The 21,268-nt window shown below is 39.0% G+C and overlaps 1 long non-coding RNA gene across 4 annotated transcripts in view, besides 1 other annotated feature; it reads right to left on the reverse strand.

Annotated features, from left to right (window-relative positions):
• Nucleotides 1-21,268, reverse strand: part of LINC01572 (long intergenic non-protein coding RNA 1572) — a 384,069-nt gene that overhangs the window by 263,840 nt on the left and 98,961 nt on the right. For 2 of the 4 annotated variants that reach the window (NR_126330.2, NR_159370.1), the window contains exon 3: nucleotides 10,524-10,585. The exons of the other annotated variants lie outside the window; for them this stretch is intronic. This is a non-coding gene — a long non-coding RNA (long intergenic non-protein coding RNA 1572). The remainder of the gene's footprint in view (nucleotides 1-10,523; nucleotides 10,586-21,268) is intronic. 4 annotated transcript variants of the gene reach the window in all.
• Nucleotides 20,246-20,415: an enhancer, noted in NCBI's record as "experimental_44155 CRE fragment used in MPRA reporter constructs". NCBI's record gives its function as "activates a minimal promoter by MPRAs in K562 erythroleukemia cells, with activity observed for the non-introgressed 16:72598971 variant allele {active_cell/tissue: K562}" and the evidence as "EXISTENCE:reporter gene assay evidence [ECO:0000049][PMID:34662402]".

Consider the following 21,268-nt stretch of genomic DNA (forward strand, 5'->3'; position numbering starts at 1 on the left):
CTAAAGGAGCGTGTTCTAACCCAAAGCAAGGAATCTAAGAACCTTGAAAAAAGGTTAGAGGAATTGTTAACTAGAATAACCAGTTTAGAGAAGAACATAAATGACCTGATGGAGCTGAAAAACACAGCACAAGAACTTCATGAGGCATATACAAGTATCAATAGCTGAATCAATCAACTGGAAGAAAGAATATCAGAGATTGAAGATCAACTTAATGAAATGAAGTGTGAAGACAAGATTAGAGAAAAAAAAAAGAAACGGAACGAACAAAGCCTCCAAGAAATATGGGACTATGTGAAAAAACCAAACCTACGTTTGATTGGTGTACCTGAAAGTGACAGGGAGAATGGAACCAAGTTGAAAAACACTCTTCAGGATATTATCCAGGAAAACTTCCCCAATCTAAAAAGACAGGCCAATATTCAAATTCAGGAAAAATACAGAACACCATAAAGATACTTCTCGAGAAGAGCAATCCCAAGACACATAATCATCAGATTTACCAAGGTTGAAATGAAGGAAAAAATGTTAAGGGCAGCCAGAGAGAAAGATTGGGTTACCCACAAAGGGAAGCCCATCAGACTAACAGTGGGTCTCTTGGAAGAAACCCTACAAACCAGAGGAGAGTGGGGGCCAATATTCAACATTCTTAAAGAAAAGAATTTTCAACCTAGAATTTCATATCCAGCCAAACTAAGCTTCATAAGTGAAGGAGAAATAAGATTGTTTACAGACAAGCAAATGCTGAGAGGTTTTGTCACCACCAGGCCTGCCTTATAAGAGCTCCTGAAGGAAGCACTAAATATGTAAAGGAAAAATCGGTACCAGCCACTGCAAAAACATACCAAATTGTAAAGACCATAGACACTATGAAGAAACTGTATCAACTAACGGGTTAAATAATCAGCTAGCATCATCATGATAGGATCAAATTCACACATAACAATATTAAACTTAAGTATAAGTGGGCTACATGCCCCAATTAAAAAACACAGACTGGCAAATTGGAAAAAGAGTCAAGACCAATCGGTGTGCCGTATTCAGAGGACCCGTTGCACATGCAAAGATACACATAGGCTCAAAATAAAGGAATGGAGGAATATTTACCAAGCAAATGGAAAGCAAAAAAAAGCAGGGGTTGCAATCCTAGTCTCTGATAAAACAGACTTTAAACCAACAAAGATAAAAAATGACAAACAAGGCATTACATAATGGTAAAGGAATCAATGCAACAAGAAGAGCTAACTATCCTAAATATATATGCATCCAATATAGGAGTACTCAGATTCATCAAGCAAGTTCTTAGAGACCTGCAAAGAGACTTAGACTCCCACACAATAATATTGGGAGACTTTAACACCCCACTGTCAATATTAGACAGATCAATGAGAGAGAAAATTAACAAGGACATTCAGGACTTTAACTCAGCTCTGGACCAAGCAGACCTAACAGACATCTACAGAACTCTCCACCCTAAAACAACAGAATATACATTCTTCTCAGCATCACATCACACTTATTCTAAAATTGACCACATAATTGGAAATAAAACACTCCTCAGCAAATGCAAAAGAATGGAAATCATAAAAAACAATCTCTCAGACCACAGTGCAATCAAATTAGAACTCAGGATTAAGAAAGTCACTCAAAACCGCACAACTACATGGAAACTGAACAAACTGCTCCTGAATGACTACTGGGTAAATAATGAAATGAAGGCAAAAATAAATAAGTTCTTTGAAAGCAATGAGAACAAAGACACAATGTACCAGAATCTCTAGGATACAGCGAAAGCAGTGTTAAGAGGGAAATTTATAGCACTAAATTTGTCCACAGGAGAAAGCAGCAAAGATCTAAAATCAACACCCTAACATTAAAGTTAAAAGAACTAGAGAAGCAAGAGCAAACAAATTCAAAAGCTAGCAGAGGACAAGAAATAACTAAGATCAGAGCAGAACTGAAGGAGATAGAGACACAAAAACCTCTTCAAAAAAAAATCAGTGAATCCAGAGCCTGGTTTTTTGAAAAGATTAACAAAATAGACCGCTAGCCAGACTAATAAAGAAAAGAGAGAAGAATCAAATAGACACAATAAAAAATGATAAAGGGATATCACTACTGATCCCACAGAAATACAAACTACCATCAGAGAATACTATAAACACCTCTACGCAAATAAACTAGAAAATCTACAAGAAATGGATAAATTCTTGGACACATACACCTTCCCAAGTCTAAACCAGGAAGAAATTGAATCCCACAACAGACCAATAACAAGTTCTGAAATTGAAGCAGTAATTAATAGCCTACCAACGAAAAAATGCCCAGGACCAGACGGATTCACAGCCAAATTCTACCAGAGGTACAAAGAGGAGCCGGTACCATTCCTTCTGAAACTATTCCAAACAATAGAAAAAGAGGGACTCCTAACTCATTTTATGAGGCCAGCATCATCCTGGTTCTAAAACCTGGCAGAGACACAATAAAAAAAGAATTTCAAGCCAATATCCCTGATGAACATCGATGCGAAAATCCTGAATAAAATACTGGCAAACCAACTCCAGCAGCACATCAAAAAGCTTATCCACCACAATCAAGTCGGCTTCATCCTTGGGATGCAGGGCCAGTTCAACATACGCAAATCAATAAACGTAACCCATCACATGAACGGAACCAATGACAAAAACCACATGATTATCTCAATGAATACAGAAAAGGCCTTTGACAAAATCCAACAGCCCTTCATGCTAAAAACTCTCAATAAACTAGGTATTGATGGAACATATCTCAAAGTAATAAGTGCTATTTATGACAAACCCATGGCCAATATCATACTGAATGGGCAAAAACTGGAAGCGTTCCCTTTGAAAACTGGCACAAGACAGGGATGCCCTCTCTCACCACTCCTATTCAATATAGTATTGGAAGTTCTGACCAGGGTAATCAGGCAAGAGAAAGAAGTAAAGGTATTCAAACAGGAAGACAGCAAGGCAAATTCTCTCTGTTTGCAGAAGACATGATTGTCTTTTTAGAAAACCCCATCGTCTCAGCCCCAAATCTCCTTAAGCTGATAAGCAACTTCAGCAAAGTCTCAGGATACAAAATCAATGTGCAAAAGTCACAAGCATTCCTATACACCAATAATAGACAAACAGAGAGCCAAATCATGAGTGAACTCCCATTCACAATTGCTACAAAGAGAATAAAATACCTAGGAATCCAACTTACAAGGGATGTGAAGGACCTCTTCAAGGAGAACTACAAACCTCTGCTCAAGGAAATGAGAGGACACAAACAAATGGAAAAACATTCCATGATCATGGATACGAAGAATCAATATTGTGAAAATGGCCATACTGCCCAAAGTAATTTATAGATTCAGTGGTATCCCCATCAAGCTACCATTGACTTTCTTCACAGAATTAGAAAAAAACTACATTAAATTTCATATGAACCAAAAAAGAGCCCATATAGCCAAGACAATCCTAAGCAAGAAGAACAAAGCTGGAGGCATCATGCTACCTGACTTCAAACTATACTACAAGGCTACAGTAACCAAAACAGCATGGTACTGGTACCAAAACAGATATATAAGACCAATGGAGCAGAACAGCGGCCTCAGAAATGCCACACATCTACAACCATCTGATCTTTGACAAACCTGATAAAAACCAGCAATGGGGAAATGATTCCCTATTTAATAAATGGTGGGAAAACTGGATAGCCACATGCAGAAAACAGAAACTGGATCCCTTCCTACTTACACCTTATACAAAAAATTAACTCAAGATGGATTAAAGACTTAAATGTAAGACCTAAAACCATAAAACCCTAGAAGCAAACCTAGGCAATACCGTTCAGGACACAGGCATGGGCAAAGACTTCATGACTAAAACACCAAAAGCAATGGCAACAAAAGCCAAAACTGACAAATGGGATCTAATTAAACTAAAGAGCTTTTGCACAGCAAAAGAAACTATCAACAGAGTGAATAGGCAACCTAAAGAATGGGAGAAAATTGTTGGAATCTATCCATCTGACAAAGGGCTAATATCCAGAATCTACAAAGAACTTAAACAAATTTACAAGAAAAAAAACAAACAACCCCATCAAAAAGTGGGCGAAGGATATGAACAGACACTTCTCAAAAGAGGACATTTATGTGGCCAACAAACATATGAAAAAAAGCTCATCATCACTGATCATTAGAGAAATGTAAATCAAAACCACAATGAGATACCATCTCATGCCAGTTAGAATGGCGATCATTAAAAAGTCAGGAAACAACAGATGCTGGAGAGGATGTAGAGAAATAGGAATGTTTTTACACTGCTGGTGGGACTGTAAATTAGTTAAACCATTGTGGAAGACAGTGTGGCGATTCCTCAAGGATCTAGAACCAGAAATACCATTTGATCCAGCAATCCCATTACTGGGTATATACTCAAAGGATTACATATCATTCTACTATAAAGACACATGCACACGTATGTTTATTGCAGCCCTGTTCACGATAGCAAAGACTTGGAACCAACCCAAATGCCCATCAGTGATAGACTGGATAAAGAAAATGTGGCACATATACACCATGGAATACTATGCAGCCGTAAGAAAGGATGAGTTCATGTCCTTTGCAGGGACATGGATGAAGCTAGAAACCATCATTCTCAGCAAACTAACACAGGCACAGAAAACCAAACACCGCATGTTCTCACTCATAAGTGGGAGTTGAACAATGAGAACACATGGACACAGCAAGGGGAACATCACACACTGGGGCCTGTCACCGGGTGGGGGGCTAGGAGAGGGCTAGCATTAGGAGAAATACCTAATGTAGATGACGAGTTGATGGGTGCAGCAAACCACCATGGCACGTGTATACCTATGTAACAAACCTGCACGTTCTGCACATGTATACCAAAACTTAAAGTATAATAAAAACAAACAACAAAACTAGAATGGACATATTAGCGGTTGGTAGAACCCTTACCTTGGTGCCCTGACATGTGGAGTCAAAGCAAATATAATTCATTAGTAAAGTTCCTAAAAATGTCCCATCCATTCCCAAGATAGTAAGTAAAAAATAGCATTGTATCCCTAAAGGATATGCAGAGATCAGACATACCTTCAGAAATGTAAAGGATATAGGATTAATGGTTAATTTTATATGTCAACTTGTCTGGGCCATGATGCCTAGACATTTCATCAAACACTATTCAGGATGTTTCTGAGAGAGTTACTGAATGAGATTTACATTCAAATTTGTGAGCTCTGAGTAATGTAGGTTGCCCTCCATAATGTGGGTGGGTCTTGTCCAATCAGGAGAAGGCCTGAATAGAACAAAAACTTGATTTCCCTGAAGCAAGAGGAATTCTCTCTCCTACGGCTTTCAGACCTCATTTGCACATCAATTCTTCCTGAATCTACAGTAGACTCCCGTTACAACTCTTTCTTGTATCTCCAGCCTATTGGGCTCCTCAATCAGATTTTAGACTGGCCAAGTCTCCACAATCACAGGAGCTAATTCCTTAAAATAAATCTCTTTATAGATGCACATCTTATTGGTTTTGTTTCTCTGGAGAATTGTGAATAATATAGGCAGGTAGTCCTCATCTCATCCCCATTTAATTCACAAGTCAGATTTCTACAAAAACTGGATGAATTATGGCAGAAAACAATGAACTACCGTAATTTTAGCCAAACAGTAATACTGAATGTAGCTGTTGTGCCAGATGTGGTATTTAGTAAAGAAATCATAATTAGCAAATTAACACGGCCTTTGGTACATGGTGTGTATCTATTGATTTGGAGATTGCATTCTTTTCAATATCTATTCACAAGAAAGGTGAATCAGAGGAAGTATGCATTGAAAAAACAATATAATCTAATATATATAGAAAAATAATATATAGCGGGATTGTCAAAGCTTTATCTGTACAGGCCAGATAGTAAATATTTTAAGCTTAGTGAGTCAAGCGGCAAAATGGAGGATATGATAAAGGCACTTATTTGCATTATCCAAAAAATGCACATTTCCCAAACTTTTTATTGATGAAGTTCAAAACATATTATTTTAGTATAATTTTTTTGAAAATACAAGTCTCCTAATAAGAAGAGAATCCTTTTTGTGTGGAGATAACATTTTGCTAAAATGGGGGTACAAAGTTAGTGTTCCCAATTACTAAAATTAATTGTAAGGTACACCTGTTAAAGCTAATCTGTAATGAGATTTTACACATTTAATCTTTGAAAATGTCCTTAACAAAGATGATACATATTACCAAATACTGACATCAGTCATGAGCATATGATATTAATTGAGCATATTCATCAATTGGAAGGCATTCATAGAATTATATTAGATTCTTTTCTTGATAATTGCAGTTTAACATTTCATTACATTGTATATTAATCACTTTCAATTGACGGTTAGGTGGAAGCTCCTCAACCACAAAGTTAAATGGATTTTAAAACATGGAAATTTCCTTTGCACTTGAATCAAGTTCCAAAAACTCTTGCTGGAACTGTAGGTTGAGCTTGGAAAATATACTCACTCCAAATTCATATGAAAATTATAGATCCCACTTCTTGTTCTGATTCAAACAATGTGAGTTAACATTGAAATGACTCTACTGCAGCACATAACTGTGATTTGCTATTGAATTAATTAAAAAAATTATTAAGTCTGCAGCAAAAAATAAATTTCAAAGTCATTAATTTTCTAACATATTGGTTGAGAGAGATTCTTCTTACTTAGAAAAGTTTCAGTCTTGGCCCTGAGCTCAAAAATTCAAAATAAAACTTTACAATTGCAAAGTCATTGAACTTTTGTGTGGTAAATAAATTCAGGATAGCCGGCATCTCTTTTGGACAAAAATTCACAGAACAAATGATATTTAACTTGCAAAAGCAGTGAAGTTCACTGTTAACACTACTGGTTCAATAACACAAAAAAAGAGTTTCAAATATTTTCCACAAAATACCTGCTGATAAATAATACAATGAAAAACTATGGCTTTAACTATGGCTTTTATAACTTTGTCCAACTAAGTCTTTTTCTGTTCCACATAAATCTTTACCACTGACAGTTTTAATACATCTTAGCAGATTCCACTTCAGGTTATACTAAGTTAATGTTTTTTATACATTTTGCCTGTAGTTGTCTCAAAGAGACTATTCAAGAGTCAAGAAAATCGACTGCCTTTTTCTTTTTTGCCTTGTTTTATAATTGACCACTGGTGGTGTTCCCAGTGTCCTCAGTTTTCCTTATGGAAAGGCAAACAATCTTTTAAATGTTAATTTTCTTAGGATACATATCTTCAGCCACTACAACCAAACACAATTTAATTAACTCACTATCAGTAAATGATTTTCCTTGCCTGGCTAACAAAAGTACCACTTAGAAACTTACTTTGGTGTAGCCTCATTTACATTTTTTCGTTTTGTTTTGTTTTGAGACACGGTCTCACTCTGTCACCCAGGCTGGAGAGCAGTGGCTCAATCTTGCCTCACTGCAACCTCCACCTCCTGGGTTCAAGTGATCCTCCCACCTCAGTCTCTCAAGTAGCTGGGATTACAGGCACATGCCACTATGCCTGGCTAACTTATTTTTCTGTATTTTTTATAGAGATGGGCTTTTGCCGTGTTGCCCAGGCTGGTCTCAAACTCCTGGATTCAAGTGATCCACCTGTCTCAGTCTCTCAAAGTGTTGGGATTACAGGTGTGAGCCACCACACCCGGCCCATTTTTGTGTCTGTGTACGTGACTAAATTATGTTTCATGAGATATCCCATCTTACGTTTTCTACCTTTTCTGACCATTACTTTCTATGAGTTGAAAACATTGTGCTGAGAGCTTAGTCTGATAAAATTGACATATATTATTTTAGCATAGCTATAATGTCACCACATAATAAATACAATACTTTGTCATCTAACTCAATAAAAAATTATCCACAGTCCATTGTGTCTTAAAAGTGTAACACTCAAATCCACTTTCTCTTTTCTTGATTTAACATAATGCATATTCACTGGTGATTTTTTAAAACATCACATGACAATGGTATGTGTGACTCTTGATATGTTATTAAGTTATGACTACATCACTGAGACTTGTAGTGTGCTGTGGAAGAGTGCAAATTGAGAAGAATGTCAACATAGTCTCCATCACAACTACTTTGCCCATTGTAGCAAAAAACCACCATAGACAATATATAAACAAATGGGCATGAATGTGTTCTAATAAAATTTTATTTATGGACATTTAAACTTTACAAAATTTTCACATACCAGAAAATACTATTCTGATTTTTTTCAAACATTTAGAAGGTTTTTAAAAAAATTCTTAGCTCATGAGCTGCATAAAAAGAGGTCACAGGCCAGATTTGGCATGTGAAGCATAGTTTGCCTACTTGACATATACTGTCATGGTCCTGCTCCCCAGACTATGTTAATTCTGCCATCACAATATAGTCAAAAGGGACCTGAACTATCTGAACATTTCATGTAACATGATATTGGTCCACTATGTTGATGGCATCATATTCATCAAGCCTTATTCACCAAAAGTACCAAATATACTGGATAACTTAGCAGAAAAAAATGTACTCCAAGCAGCAAGAGACAAAACACAAAGATAGAGAATCCTGCCCCAATGATAAGGGTTTCAGGGGTCCAGTAGCATAGAACATGCTGGATCTCTTCTCCAAATTAGAAAAATGTATTGCACTTTGTACTTCCAACACTAATGAAAATGTATAAAATGTGGTAAACTTCTTCAGAACAGATGCAGTATTTGAGAATACTGCTCTGACCCACTATCAGTAGATGTGGAAGGTTGCCTCTTTTGAGTGGGGCAGAGAGCATAAAGAGCTCTACAACAGGTTGAGGCTCTTAGATAACAGTCGTGTTACTTAGGCAATATGACTCGGCAGATCCCATACACTGGAGGTGCCAAAACCAGTCAAAGTCATTAAAATAAAAGAAAACTGCAGACCAATACCTCTCATAAACATACACAGAAAAATCCTCAGCCAGGCGCGGTGGCTCACGCCTGTAATCCCAGCACTTTGGGAGGCTGAGGTGGGCGGATCATGAGGTCAGGAGATCGAGACCATCCTGGCTAACACGGTGAAACCCCGTCTCTACTAAAAATACAAAAAATTAGCCAGGTGTGGTGGCAGGCACCTGTAGTCCCAGCCATGTGGGAGGCTGAGGCAGGAGAATGGCGTGAACCCGGGAGATGGAGCTTGCAGTGCCACTGCACTCCAGCCCAGGTGACAGAGCAAGACTCCATCTCAAAAAAAAAAAAAAAAAAGAAAAAGAAATCCTCAACAAAATATTGCAAGTCATATCCAGAAATATATAAAAGGAATAATAAACATGACCAAGTGGGGTTTATTAGGGAATGCAAGGCTAGTTTATTTAAAAATCAATCAATATAATCATCAGTCTACCAACAGTCTAAAGAAAAAAATCCACATGATCATACCAATTGATGCAGAAAAGCATTTGACAAAACACAGGTTATTTCCATAATAAAAAGTCAGTAAACTAAGAATAGAAGGAACTTACCAAACTCAGTAAAGGGAATTTAGAGATGATCTATAGCTAACAATACCTATAGTTAAGGACTAATTGTCTTCCTCCTAATAATGGAGACTTGGCCAGGCATGGTGGTTGACGCCTGTAATCCCACTTTGGGAGGCAGAGGCAGGGAGATCACCCAAGGCCAGGAGTTCAAGACCAGCCTGGCCAACATGTCAAAACACCATCTCTACAAAAAATATAAAAATTAGCTGGACGTGGTTGTAATCCCAGCTACTCAGGTGGCTAGGGTATGAGAATCACTTGAACCGGGGAGGTGGAGGCTGCAGTGAGCCAAGACTGCGCCACTGCATTCCAGCCTGGGTGACAGAGCAAAACCCTGTCTTGGAAAAAAAAAAAAAAAAAAAAGGTAATTAGATAAAGATGTACAAAATGCAGCCTGGGCAACATAGTGAGATGCTGTTGCTATCAAAAGAAAAAAAAAAAAAAAAAGGCCGGGCGCGGTGGCTCACGTCTGTAATCCTAGCACTTTGGGAGGCCAAGGCGGGCGGATCACGAGGTCAGAAGATCGAGACCATCCTGGCTAACGCGGTGAAACCCCGTCTCTACTAAAAATACAAAAAAATTAGCCGGGCCTGGTGGCGGGCGCCTGTAGTCCCAGCTACTCGGGAAGCTGAGGTAGGAGAATGGTGTGAACCTGGGAGGCGGAGCTTGCGGTGAGCCGAGATCGCGCCACTGCACTCCTGCCTGGGTGTCAGAGCAAGACTCCATCTCAAACAAACAAACAAACAAAAATGCTGGGCATGGTGACTGACATCTGTAGTCCCAGATAATCAGGTCAGGGAATTGCTTGAGCCCAGGAAGCTGAGGCTGCAGTGACTCATGATTGCACCACTGCACTCCAGCCTGGGCAACAGACTGAGGACTGAGACCCTGTCTCAAAACAACAACAACAACAACAACAACAAAAGTACTAACCAGTTTAAGCTCTTCTTGTTTCTTTGCCATTCTTGTAAGTTTTAGAATCAGCTTATCTGTATCTACAAGAAAAAAAAAAACCTGTTGGGATTTCCTTTTCAATCTAGATGCCTTTTATTTCGTTTTTTCATGAACACTCTGACCACCAGTCCTAAGGAAGTCTTACCCAAATCAATAAAGAGAAAAAAACCCCCAAAAACCAAAACCATAAGGATTGGAGCAGAAGAAATAAAACTGTACATTCAGAGAGGACATGATTGTCTATGTAGAAAATGCGAAGAAATCTATAAAAACAAAGGACAAAAAAGCAAGAAAACACTAGAACTAATACGTGAGCAAACATGATCACTGGATACAGGTCAACACAAAATAAAATTTATTTTATGTCTGTACACTGGCAATGTACAATTGGAAACTGAAATTAAAAACATAATACCATTTAGAAGCTAAGGCGGGAGGGTCACTTAAGGCCAGTAGCTCAAGACAAGTCTGGGCAATACAGCAAGACCCTATCTCTACAAAAAAATTAAAAAATTAGCCAGGCATGGTGGCCTGCATCTGTAGTCCTAGCTTACTTGGAAGGCTGAGGTGGGGAGGTCACTTGAACCCAGAGTTTGAGGCTGCAGTAGGCTATGATCTCATCATTGTACTTCAGCCTGGGTGACAGAGTGAGAACTTGTCTCTAAAATGATGATGACAATAATAAAAATAATAATGCCATTTAAATAGTTATTTTAAAATATACAGGTATTAGTGTAGCCAAACAGGTACTAATATGTATGCTGAAAACTAAAAAGCACTGATGAAAAAAATCAAAGAAGACCTAAATAGAGACATACCATGTTCATAAAATGGAAGACTCAACTTAGTAAAGATGACAATTCTAAAAGTGATCTGTAAGTTTCAACAAACAAATAACAACATATTATATAATTTCATTTATATGAAATGTCCAGAATAAGCAAATCCATGGAGATACAAAGTAACTTAGTAATTGCCTATGGATAGAGGGTGGCAGGGGGTTGAGGTGAATATGGGTAGGGTGTTTCTTTTTGGAGGTAATGAAAATGTTCTAAAATTGATTGTAGTTATGGCTGCACAACTCTGTGAATACACTAAATACCATTACATTTTATACTTTAAATGGGTGAACTGAATGGTTTGTGAATTATATCTCAATAGTTACAAAAAAACTCCATCAACCACTATCCATTATGTAGTTTAAAAAACCAGAAAAGCACATTTTAAAACTATATAATACTATTTGACTCAATACTGTCACTTTTAGAAAACTAATAAAATCAGAGATATGTAAGTAATGCTTATCTATAGAAAAATGTTTACTAAATTATCTCAGGAAAAATTAGAAATAATCTATAATTCCAATTATATGACTGTTCCAATAAAACATGATACATTTGCATGATGAGTGTTTTAATTTTTAAGAGCTGTATAGTTCAGAAAAATGTCATGTGAAATAAACTTTAGTGAAAAACAATCCAGGTATGAAAGTATGAAATGCATAACTTATTTTTAAATTTTTATTTATCCATTTGTTACTTAGTCTCACTCTGTTGCACAGGCTGGAGTGCAGTGGTGTGATCTTGGCTCACTGCAACCTCCACCTTCTGGGTCCAGACGAATCTCCCACCTCAGCCTCTCAAGTAGTTGGGATTACAGGTGTGTTCCACCACGCCTGGCTAATTTTTGTATTTTTAGTACAGATGGAGTTTCACCACGTTAGCCAGGCTGGTCTCTTAACTCCTGACCTCAAATGATCCGTCTGCCTTGGCCTTCCAAAGTGCTGGGATTACAGGAGTGAACCACTGTGGCTAGCCAAAATGCATGATTTTTTTTTTTTTTTTTTTTGAGACAGAGTTTCACTCTTGTTGTCCACGCTGGAGGGCAATGGTGCGATCTTGGCTCACTGTAACCTCCGCCTCCCGGGTTCAAGTGATTCTCCTGCCTCAGCCTCCCAAGTAGCTGGGATTATAGGCACCTGCTACCATGCCCAGCTAATTTTTGTATTTTTAGTAGAGATGCAGTTTTACCGTGTTGGCCTTGAACTCCTGACATCAGGTGATCTGCCCACCTCGGCCTCCCAAAGTGTTGGGATTACAGGCGTGAGCCACCAAGCTCGGCCAAAATGCAAGATTTTTAAATGTCTTTATGTGAAATACTTAGTAAAACCATGGGTCATTTAGACAGAAGGTTCATAGTTGTCATCTCTGAATGGTAGCACTACGAGTGATTTTTTTCTTTATTCTCTTATGTTTTTAAGATTTGTATTAACAGAAATTAAATTACTTCAATAATATGAAATAAGTAACATATTATTTGGTTTTCTGTTTTAAAATAGAAGATTAAAAACTAAGAAGAACAGCAAGAGGAAGAAATAAAAGCAGCATAATGCGTTATCAATTTAAAAGTAGGTGGGAATGATTAACAGTGTCACATGTACCAGAGAGGTAGACTAGACAAAACTTGAAAAGGTCCATTAGATTTCAAACAAGGAGGTTATCGTTAACATTCTGGCAGATCTGAGAGTGTCATAAGCCACACTATAAAAGAGTAGAATACAATGAAAGGTAAGAAAGCAGAGATAATGATTAAATAAATTGTCTTTTTATTTTTTTTTAAAGCAGATTTCACTCAGGATGTACAGAGCTAGGAAAAAAACATCTCTCCCAAACTAACAAGAAAAGACCAAACAATGTACAAATCGTAACTTTCCTTACACTTACTAGAGCTAAATTCACAGGGAAACAAACCAACCTGGAACCTAAGGAGAAACAAATGCCTCTAAGGAGATACATGATCTGAGCACTGACTTACTTTGGATAGGACACTAAAAGAACATAGAAGAAATGAGTAAGAGGAAACCAGCTAAAGTTTTTAACAAACTACTAAAGTCCAAATGTGGGCTACTGTAAAAATATAAAAACCCTGTGAACTATAGATTCATGGGGAATTTATACATATGAACCTTTACTGAGTGCTCACAAGATAGACTGGGGGCAGCGGGGGAGACTGGAGAAAGCTTCCTTCTATGGTATAGGCTCGGAAGAGGCGAGTGGTCACTGCTGCAGGAACACGCTGATCCTTCTCTTGACAGAACATAAGCCTTAAGCCACTCAGAGAAAGGCAACAAACTATCCCAGATCTATAACATTAGAGATCTCCTAAGGGCTACCAAGTAGCAGAATCACCGAGAAATTCCCACCCCCAAGTCTCAGGTACACAAGGGCCTACCTAAGGCTGAAGTCAAACCAGGACAATACCATATCTACCTTGGTACCCACTACCAGACTAGCAAGCATCAAGTAACAAGAAAAAAAAGTCTACTACTGAGAGAAGGACATGAAAGAAACATTCTCCGTGGTACAAGTACACAAGGAAGACTTAAACCCAAGGGTGCAGTAGTAGCATTGATAAAAATTACTCTGGCTTGCAGGGTGTGGTGGCTCACGCCTATAATTACAGCACTTTGGGACGCTGAGGCAGGTAGATCACTTGAGGTCAGGAGTTTGAGACCAGCTAACATGGTAAGACTCCTGACTCTACTAAAAATACAAAAGTTATCCGGGTGTGTGGCATGTGGTATATGCCTGTAAACCCAGCTACTCGGGAGGCTGAGGCACAAGAACCCCTTGAACCTGGGAGGCAGAGGTTGCAGTGAGCCAAGATCCCAGCACTGCACTCCAGCCTGGGTGACGGAGTGAGACTCGGTCTCAAAAAGAAAAGAAAAGAAAAGAAAAACTCTGGCAAGGCAGCCCCAACCAGGAGCCCATCTCCATTAGACCCAGTGATGGCATCTATTATAGAAAAATACCATGATATGAGATTAGGGGGAAAGACTATCCAGTATGAAGCTTTATATTTAACACAAAGGAGTAACTTGGAGATTGGTATAAGGTGACCCCATGAAAAAATAGTCATATTGTTGAAAGATAGTTGTGTCTTTGGAAATTATTTTTAGTAAAGAATAGAGGAGTGATGGCTTATAAACAACAGAAAGGAATCTGTAGAATCCACTCATCCTTCAGGATCTGCTGGGTTCCAGGACCCTCAAGGATACCAAAATCCATGGATGTCCAAGTTCCTTATATAAAATAGTTTACTATTTGCATGTAACTTTTTTACATCCTCTCATACACTTTATCTCTACATTTAATATCTAATACAATGTAAATGCTATGTAATTTGTTATGCTATATTGTTTATTTGTATTATTACAATTAAGCTTTCTAATGTTGTATTTTGTGGTTGTACTGTTATTTTTTATTGTGTGGGGGGCTTGACCAGCAGATGGGGATCTCTGAACAGACTGAACTGGTACCACCAAAGGAATACTAATACTAGTGCAGATATATTGGGAAAAGAGAAGTTCATTTTGTGGCCTCTTCTGTCTTGGTGGAAATCATGAGAGCACCCAAGTGGTGGAGAAACTTTCTTAATGAAAGAGCATATGGCATAGGCTGGTGGCTTGGAACATTAATCCCAAAGAGAAGTCAAAAGTCATTTTTTCTCAAGACGCTCATTTACCTTCTAGTGGCAGCAACCTAATTCTGAAGATAGAGAAAATATGTGTTTTAACTTTTAGTTAATTTTAGTTAACTGAAAAACTGGAAAGTTAACATTTCACTTTGAAGATTATCAAGACTAGTTGTTATTGTCTGTTTTAGTGTTTCATTTGTACCTCCATAAGAAGGTGGCAAGGGCTTAGAAGAGCAGATAAAAATCAAATATGCGGCCGGGCATGGTGGCTCACGCCTGTAATCCTAGCACTTTGGAAGGCTGAAGCCAGCAGATCACTTGAGGTCAGGAGTTCGAGACCAGCCTGGCCAACATGGTGAAACCCTGTCTCTACTAAAAATACAAAAATTAGCCACGCGTGGTGGCAGGCGCCTGTAATCCCAGCTATGCAGGAGGCTGAGGCAGGAGAATTGCTTGAACCCAGGAGGCAGAGGTTGCAGTGAGCTGAGATTGCGCCACTGCACTCCAGCCTGGGCGACAAGAGTGAGACCCTGTCTTAAAAAAAAAAAAAAAAAAAACTGGTCAGTTTTCCTGCATCTAGAATCTTTGTTTGAAGAAATTGAGACTGGTAGAAATGAGGTCTAGTGATCACCTGTTATGTTTAATTGAATAATCTCTCTCCTATATAAAACCATTAAATATTATTGTACATAGATTATGTATACAAAAAAACAAAATTCAAAAATGCATCTAGCCAAAGTACCATTAAGAGCAAATAATTTCTTCTTAATACCACTGCCTTTTTAAAGAACAAGATAGAGCTGAGAAAGTATTCTGGCTTCTCTTCATCTGGTCAATGGCAAAAGGGCAAAAACCAGAACACTGTTATGCTGTATTAATTTTTAAAGTCCAATTAAAGGTAACATCTACAACCTTTCTTCTGTTGTGTTTGCCAAAGATTTTTAAACATTAAACACAAAGTGCTGATTGCAAGAGAAGAGGAAAGCTCTGGCTGCTACACTCTGCCAGTGATAAAAGCTTTGTCCCTAGAGACTTAGCTAACATTTAGTCACATGATACAATGTACGCTGCACACAACTTTGTTCTATTCCAAGGGCTTCCTTTCATCTAAATGACCAAATAGAGCCTGGCATTATTATCTCTGATTTTATTACCTCCTATAAAAGCTTAGGCACCGGATTGAAATGAGAATATTAAACAACAGAAAAACCTGAAACATTCTAAGGTTGGAGAAAATGGCTTTAATAAAAATTGTTACATATTCTTAACTACTCATCAACTTGCATATCTTCATAATTTAGTTCAAGAAATAAAAGCTTTCTATATTTGAGCAGCCTCCCAGGTTTAGGCAGCTTAGGATAGCATATGGATTCCTTACCCACATGTACTTCCTACTACCAACCTTACCCATAAATAACTGTTAGTAAGGACTCTTCTGGTGACCGAAACTCTTGAACTGGCTTAGCAAAAAGAGGAATTTACTAAAACAACACTGGAGTACCTTATTTAAAAGAATTATACAAAGACAAGAAGGTGGACAAAGATACAGTTGGGACTAGGGCAGGTTTTATTCTAAAATCACATCTGTTTCCATGGGCTAGCCTAATCTTTCCTCACTGTAGAATGGCTTTTTCCACATAAAGAAAAACATAGCTGCCTAGAGCTAGAGAGCTGCACATATTATAGCTTTAACCATAATCTTTCAGTCGCAAATGCAAAATTATCAGGGAAGGTTCTCATTGGCCCAAATAAATTATATGTCCACCCTTGGACAAATTAACTCTGATTAGGTGGATGGGGAACTGTATCCAGCTTGAATAGCTAGGTAGTCCGGAAGTACACACATGGGACAAAGAAGTATGTTAAACATATGAATGGGGAATGAAAGTTCCAGAAAAAGTGTGTTAAACACACAGAAGTTCACTACCCTAAAAAGTCAAGTTATCTTCAATAACTTTTTACATTAAAACTTACTAATGTCACTATGGTTTTTTTCTATTGAATAATGACTATTGTCCAGGCGCAGTGGCTCACAATTGTAATCCTAGCACTTTGGGAGGCTGAGGTGGGAGGATCCCTTGAGCTCAGGAGTTCAAGACCAGCCTAGGCAAAATAGTGAGACCCTGTCTCAATAACAATAAAAAAATTTAAAATAAATAAATAAATAATATAAAAAATAAAAAATAAAAAATAAGGCATAGTTGCACGTACTTGTAGTCTCAGCTACTTGGGTGGCTGAGGCTGGAAGATTCCTTGCGCCCAGGAGGTCGAGGCTGCAGTGAGCTGTGATTACACCACTACACTGCTAGGTGACAAAGCGAGACCCTGTCCAAAAAAAAAAAAAAAAAAAAAAGACTATGGAAAAAAGAACTGACCTTGTTTTGTTTGCCAGTTACACTTCTGTAGGTAATGCTACAACCTTCAAGTTTACACATTTATATGCTAAATTGTTTCAGAAAGAATTTAAGACAGAATGAAATAATATGTTAAATAACAACAGAACATAAATGTGAAACAAAGGAGGGAAAAACAAAGGTGGAAACAGAGTGAAATAACAAATAATGTATTCTTGTTTTTTTTTTTTTTTTTGAGATGGAGTCTTGCTCTGTCACCAGGCTGGAAGGCAGTAGTGTGATCTCGGCTCACTGCAACCTCTGTCTTCTGGGTTCAAGTGATTCTCCTGCCTCAGCCTCCCAAGTAGCTGGGACTACAGGCACGCACCACCATGCCCAACTAATTTTTGTATTTTTAGTAAAGATGGGCCAGGATGGTCTCGATCTCTTGAGCTCGTGACCTGCCTGCCTTTGCCTCCCAAAGTGCTGGGATTACAGGCATGGGCCACCAAGTCTGGCCAAATAATATATTCTTAATGCAGGTAAACGTGTTGTTAAATTAAACTTATAGGTGGCCATTGTTTTGGACAGAGCTCCTTCACTAGGCTCAACATATCAAACCAAAATGGATTCACTCATGTTGAAGTTCCATGCCACTAAGCCAAAACTAAGTTGTTTATCTGACCTTCCAAGAAATCAGGAGAGAGATAACAGCCAAATCCCCAATAGGCTAGTGTTAGCCGGCATGATAAAAAAGTACTGTCTACTTTAACCCTTGCAAAGAAAGTAATTTTGAAACGACCAATCCACTTTTTTTTTTTTCTTTCAGATAAGGTACTGCTCTGTCAACCAGGCTTAAGTGCAGTGGCATGGTCATAGCTCATCGCAACATCTAATTCCTGAGCTTAAGCAATCCTTCCACCTCACTTCAGCTTCCCAAGTAGCTGGGCCTACAAGCATGCACCACCATGCCTGGCTAATTATTTTTCAGTTTTTGTTAGAGATGAGGTCTTGCTGTGTTGGCCAGGCTGGTCTTGAACTCCTGGCCTCAAGCTATCCTCCCACCTTGGCCTCCCCAAAGTGCTGGGATTATAGGAATGAGCCACTGTGTCCAGTCCCAATCTGCTTTTTGTTATTTCTGCTTTCCTCAGTCCTTTTCTGTCTATAAAGTCAACCTCCTCTGCTCAGCTCATTGGAACACAGAATGAGGTGTTGCCTGATTCTGCAATTGATAATAAAAGCCAATTAAGATCTTTAAAATTGGCTGAGCACAGTGGCTCATGCCTGTAATCTCAACCCTTTGGGAGGCTGGATGCAGGAAGATCACTTGACGCCAGGAGTTCAAGACCAGCCTGGGCAACACGGTGAGACCCGCCTGGGGAACACAATGAGACCCACCTAGGCAATACAGTGAGACTCTGTCTCCACAAAAAAAAATAAAAAATAACACACCCTCTCAAAAAAACCATAAAAAATTAATTATTTTTAAAAGACCTTTAAAATAAAATTGTTATAATATTGTCTTTTGACAACATACTTTTGGGGAAGGTTACAAATCTAAGTTTTCCAGTAACTTTGTCAGTTACAAACTTCATAATGTACTTTAGGTAGTGAACCAATTGCTTAAGAAGCATAAAATGTAGGGTGGGCACAGTGGCTCATACTTGTAATCCCACTCCTTTGAAAGACTGAGGTGAGAGGATGGCTTGAGGCCAGGAGTTTGAGACCTCTTAGGTAGCTAGAACTACAAGCGTGTATGTATCATCATGCCTGGGAAACATAGCAAGATGCTGTCTCTACAAAAAATAAAAAATAAGGCCAGGCGTGGTGGCTCAAATCCCAGCACTTTGGGAGGCTGAGGCAGGCGGATCACGAGGTCAGGAGTTCGAGACCAGCCTGGCCAATATAGTGAAACCCCATCTCTACTAAAAATACAAAAATTAGCCAGGCATGGTGGCGTGTGCCTGTAATCCCAGCTACTCAGGAGGCTGAGGCAGGAGAATCACTTGAACTCAGGAGGCGGAGGTTGCAGTGAGCTGAGATTGCACCACTGCATTCCAGCATGGGTGACAGAGCGAGACTCTGTCTCAAAAACAAACAAACAAACAAAAAACACATAAGCCAGGCACGATGGTATATGCCTGTAGTCCTACCTACTCAAGAAGCTGAAGCAGAAGGATTATTTGGGCCAGGAGTTCAAGGTTACAGTAAGCTATGACCCTGCTACTGCACTCCAGCCTGGGAGACAGAGTGAGACCCTGTCTCAAAATAAAAAACAACAACAAGACAACCATAAAATGCACTAACAAATGTATATATATATACTTCATACATAGTAAGAAAGGGACTTCTGCTAGAAATCCCCACTTAGCCTCCATAATATTCCTGATATCTCTCTTCATTTATTAGGGATAAAGAAATAGAGAGTGACTATGTTAGCAAGGAGACAAAGGGGGAGAGCTGCTAATTGAAAAGTGCTCTGTGATATGACTTTGAGCAGAGACTTGAATAAACAGATGATGTGAGCTTTGAGAATATCTGGGAGAACATTCCAGGCAAAGGAAACAGTAAGAATAAACCTCAGCAGGCTGGGCACGGTGGCTCACTCCTGTAATCCCAGCACTTTGGGAGGCCGAGGCGGGCGGATCATGAGGTCAGGAGATCGAGACCATCCTGGCTAACACGATGAAACCCCGTCTCTACTAAAAATACAAAAAATTAGCTGGGCGCGGTGGCGGGCACCTGTAGTCCCAGCTACTCGGGAGGCTGAGGCAGGAGAATGGCCTGAACCCAGGAGGTGGAGTTTGCAGTGAGACGAGATTCTGCTACAGCACTCCAGCCTGGGTGACAGAGTGAGCTTCCGTCTCAAAAAAAAAAAAAAAAAAAAAAAGAAAAGAATAAACCCCAGCAAACAAGCATGCTTAACATGTTCAAGGAAAAGCAATGAGGCCAGTGTGTCTGGTACAGAATGAGTAAGAGATAAAATGGTAGGTCATTTGAGAGGTAGAACCAGACTGTGTAGGATACTGTAAGCCATGGTGAAAACTGGTTGCTATTCTAAACATAAAGGGAAAACACTGGAGGGTTTTCAGCAGAGAATTAACATAATATGACTTTGATTATAAAAGGCTGACCCTAGCTGCTATGTGAAGAATAGACTTTTAGGAGGTAAAAGTGGAAGCAGGGAGACAGGTTGAGAGGCTATTAGGGAAGTCTAGATAAGAGACCAAGAGAGACCTTAGGACTCTCAGCCCGGCCAACATAATGAGATCCTGTTTCTACAAAAAATAAAAAATTAGCCAGGTATGCTGGTACACGCCTATAGTCCCAGCTACTAAGAAGACTGAAGCAGGAGGTTCACTTAAGCCTAGGAGTTCGAAGCTACAGTGCGCCACTGCACTCCAGTCTGGGTGACAAAGCAAGACCTTAACACTAAAATAAATAAATAAATTGAATTGAATTAAAATTTTAAAAAATAGTGGCCGGACACAGCGGCTCACGCTTGTAATCCCAGGACTTTGGGAGGCTGAGGCAGGCGGATCACCTGAGATCAGGAGTTCGAGACCAGCCTGGCCAGCATGGTGAAAACCCCTCTCTACTAAAAATACAAAAATTAGCCAGGCATGGTGGCAGGTGCCTGTAATCCCAGCTACTTGGGAGGCTGAGGCAGGAGAATTGCTTGAACCTGGGAGGTGGAGATTGCAGTGAGCTGATATTACACCGTTGCACTCCAGCCTGGGTGGCAAGAGCGAGATTCCATCTCAAAAAAGAAAGAAAGAAAGAAAAAATACCTTAGGACTACGTGGAAGCATTGAAGGTGAGGAGAAGTAGTCAAGTTTGGGCTCTATTTTGGAGATAAATCTGAGAGGTTTTGCTGATGGACCTCTCCGTGGAGACAGAGAAGACTGGTAATTG

The sequence above is a fragment of the Homo sapiens genome, chromosome 16 (genome assembly GCF_000001405.40).
Source record: "Homo sapiens chromosome 16, GRCh38.p14 Primary Assembly".
In the NCBI taxonomy this organism is placed as follows: Eukaryota; Metazoa; Chordata; class Mammalia; order Primates; family Hominidae; genus Homo; species Homo sapiens.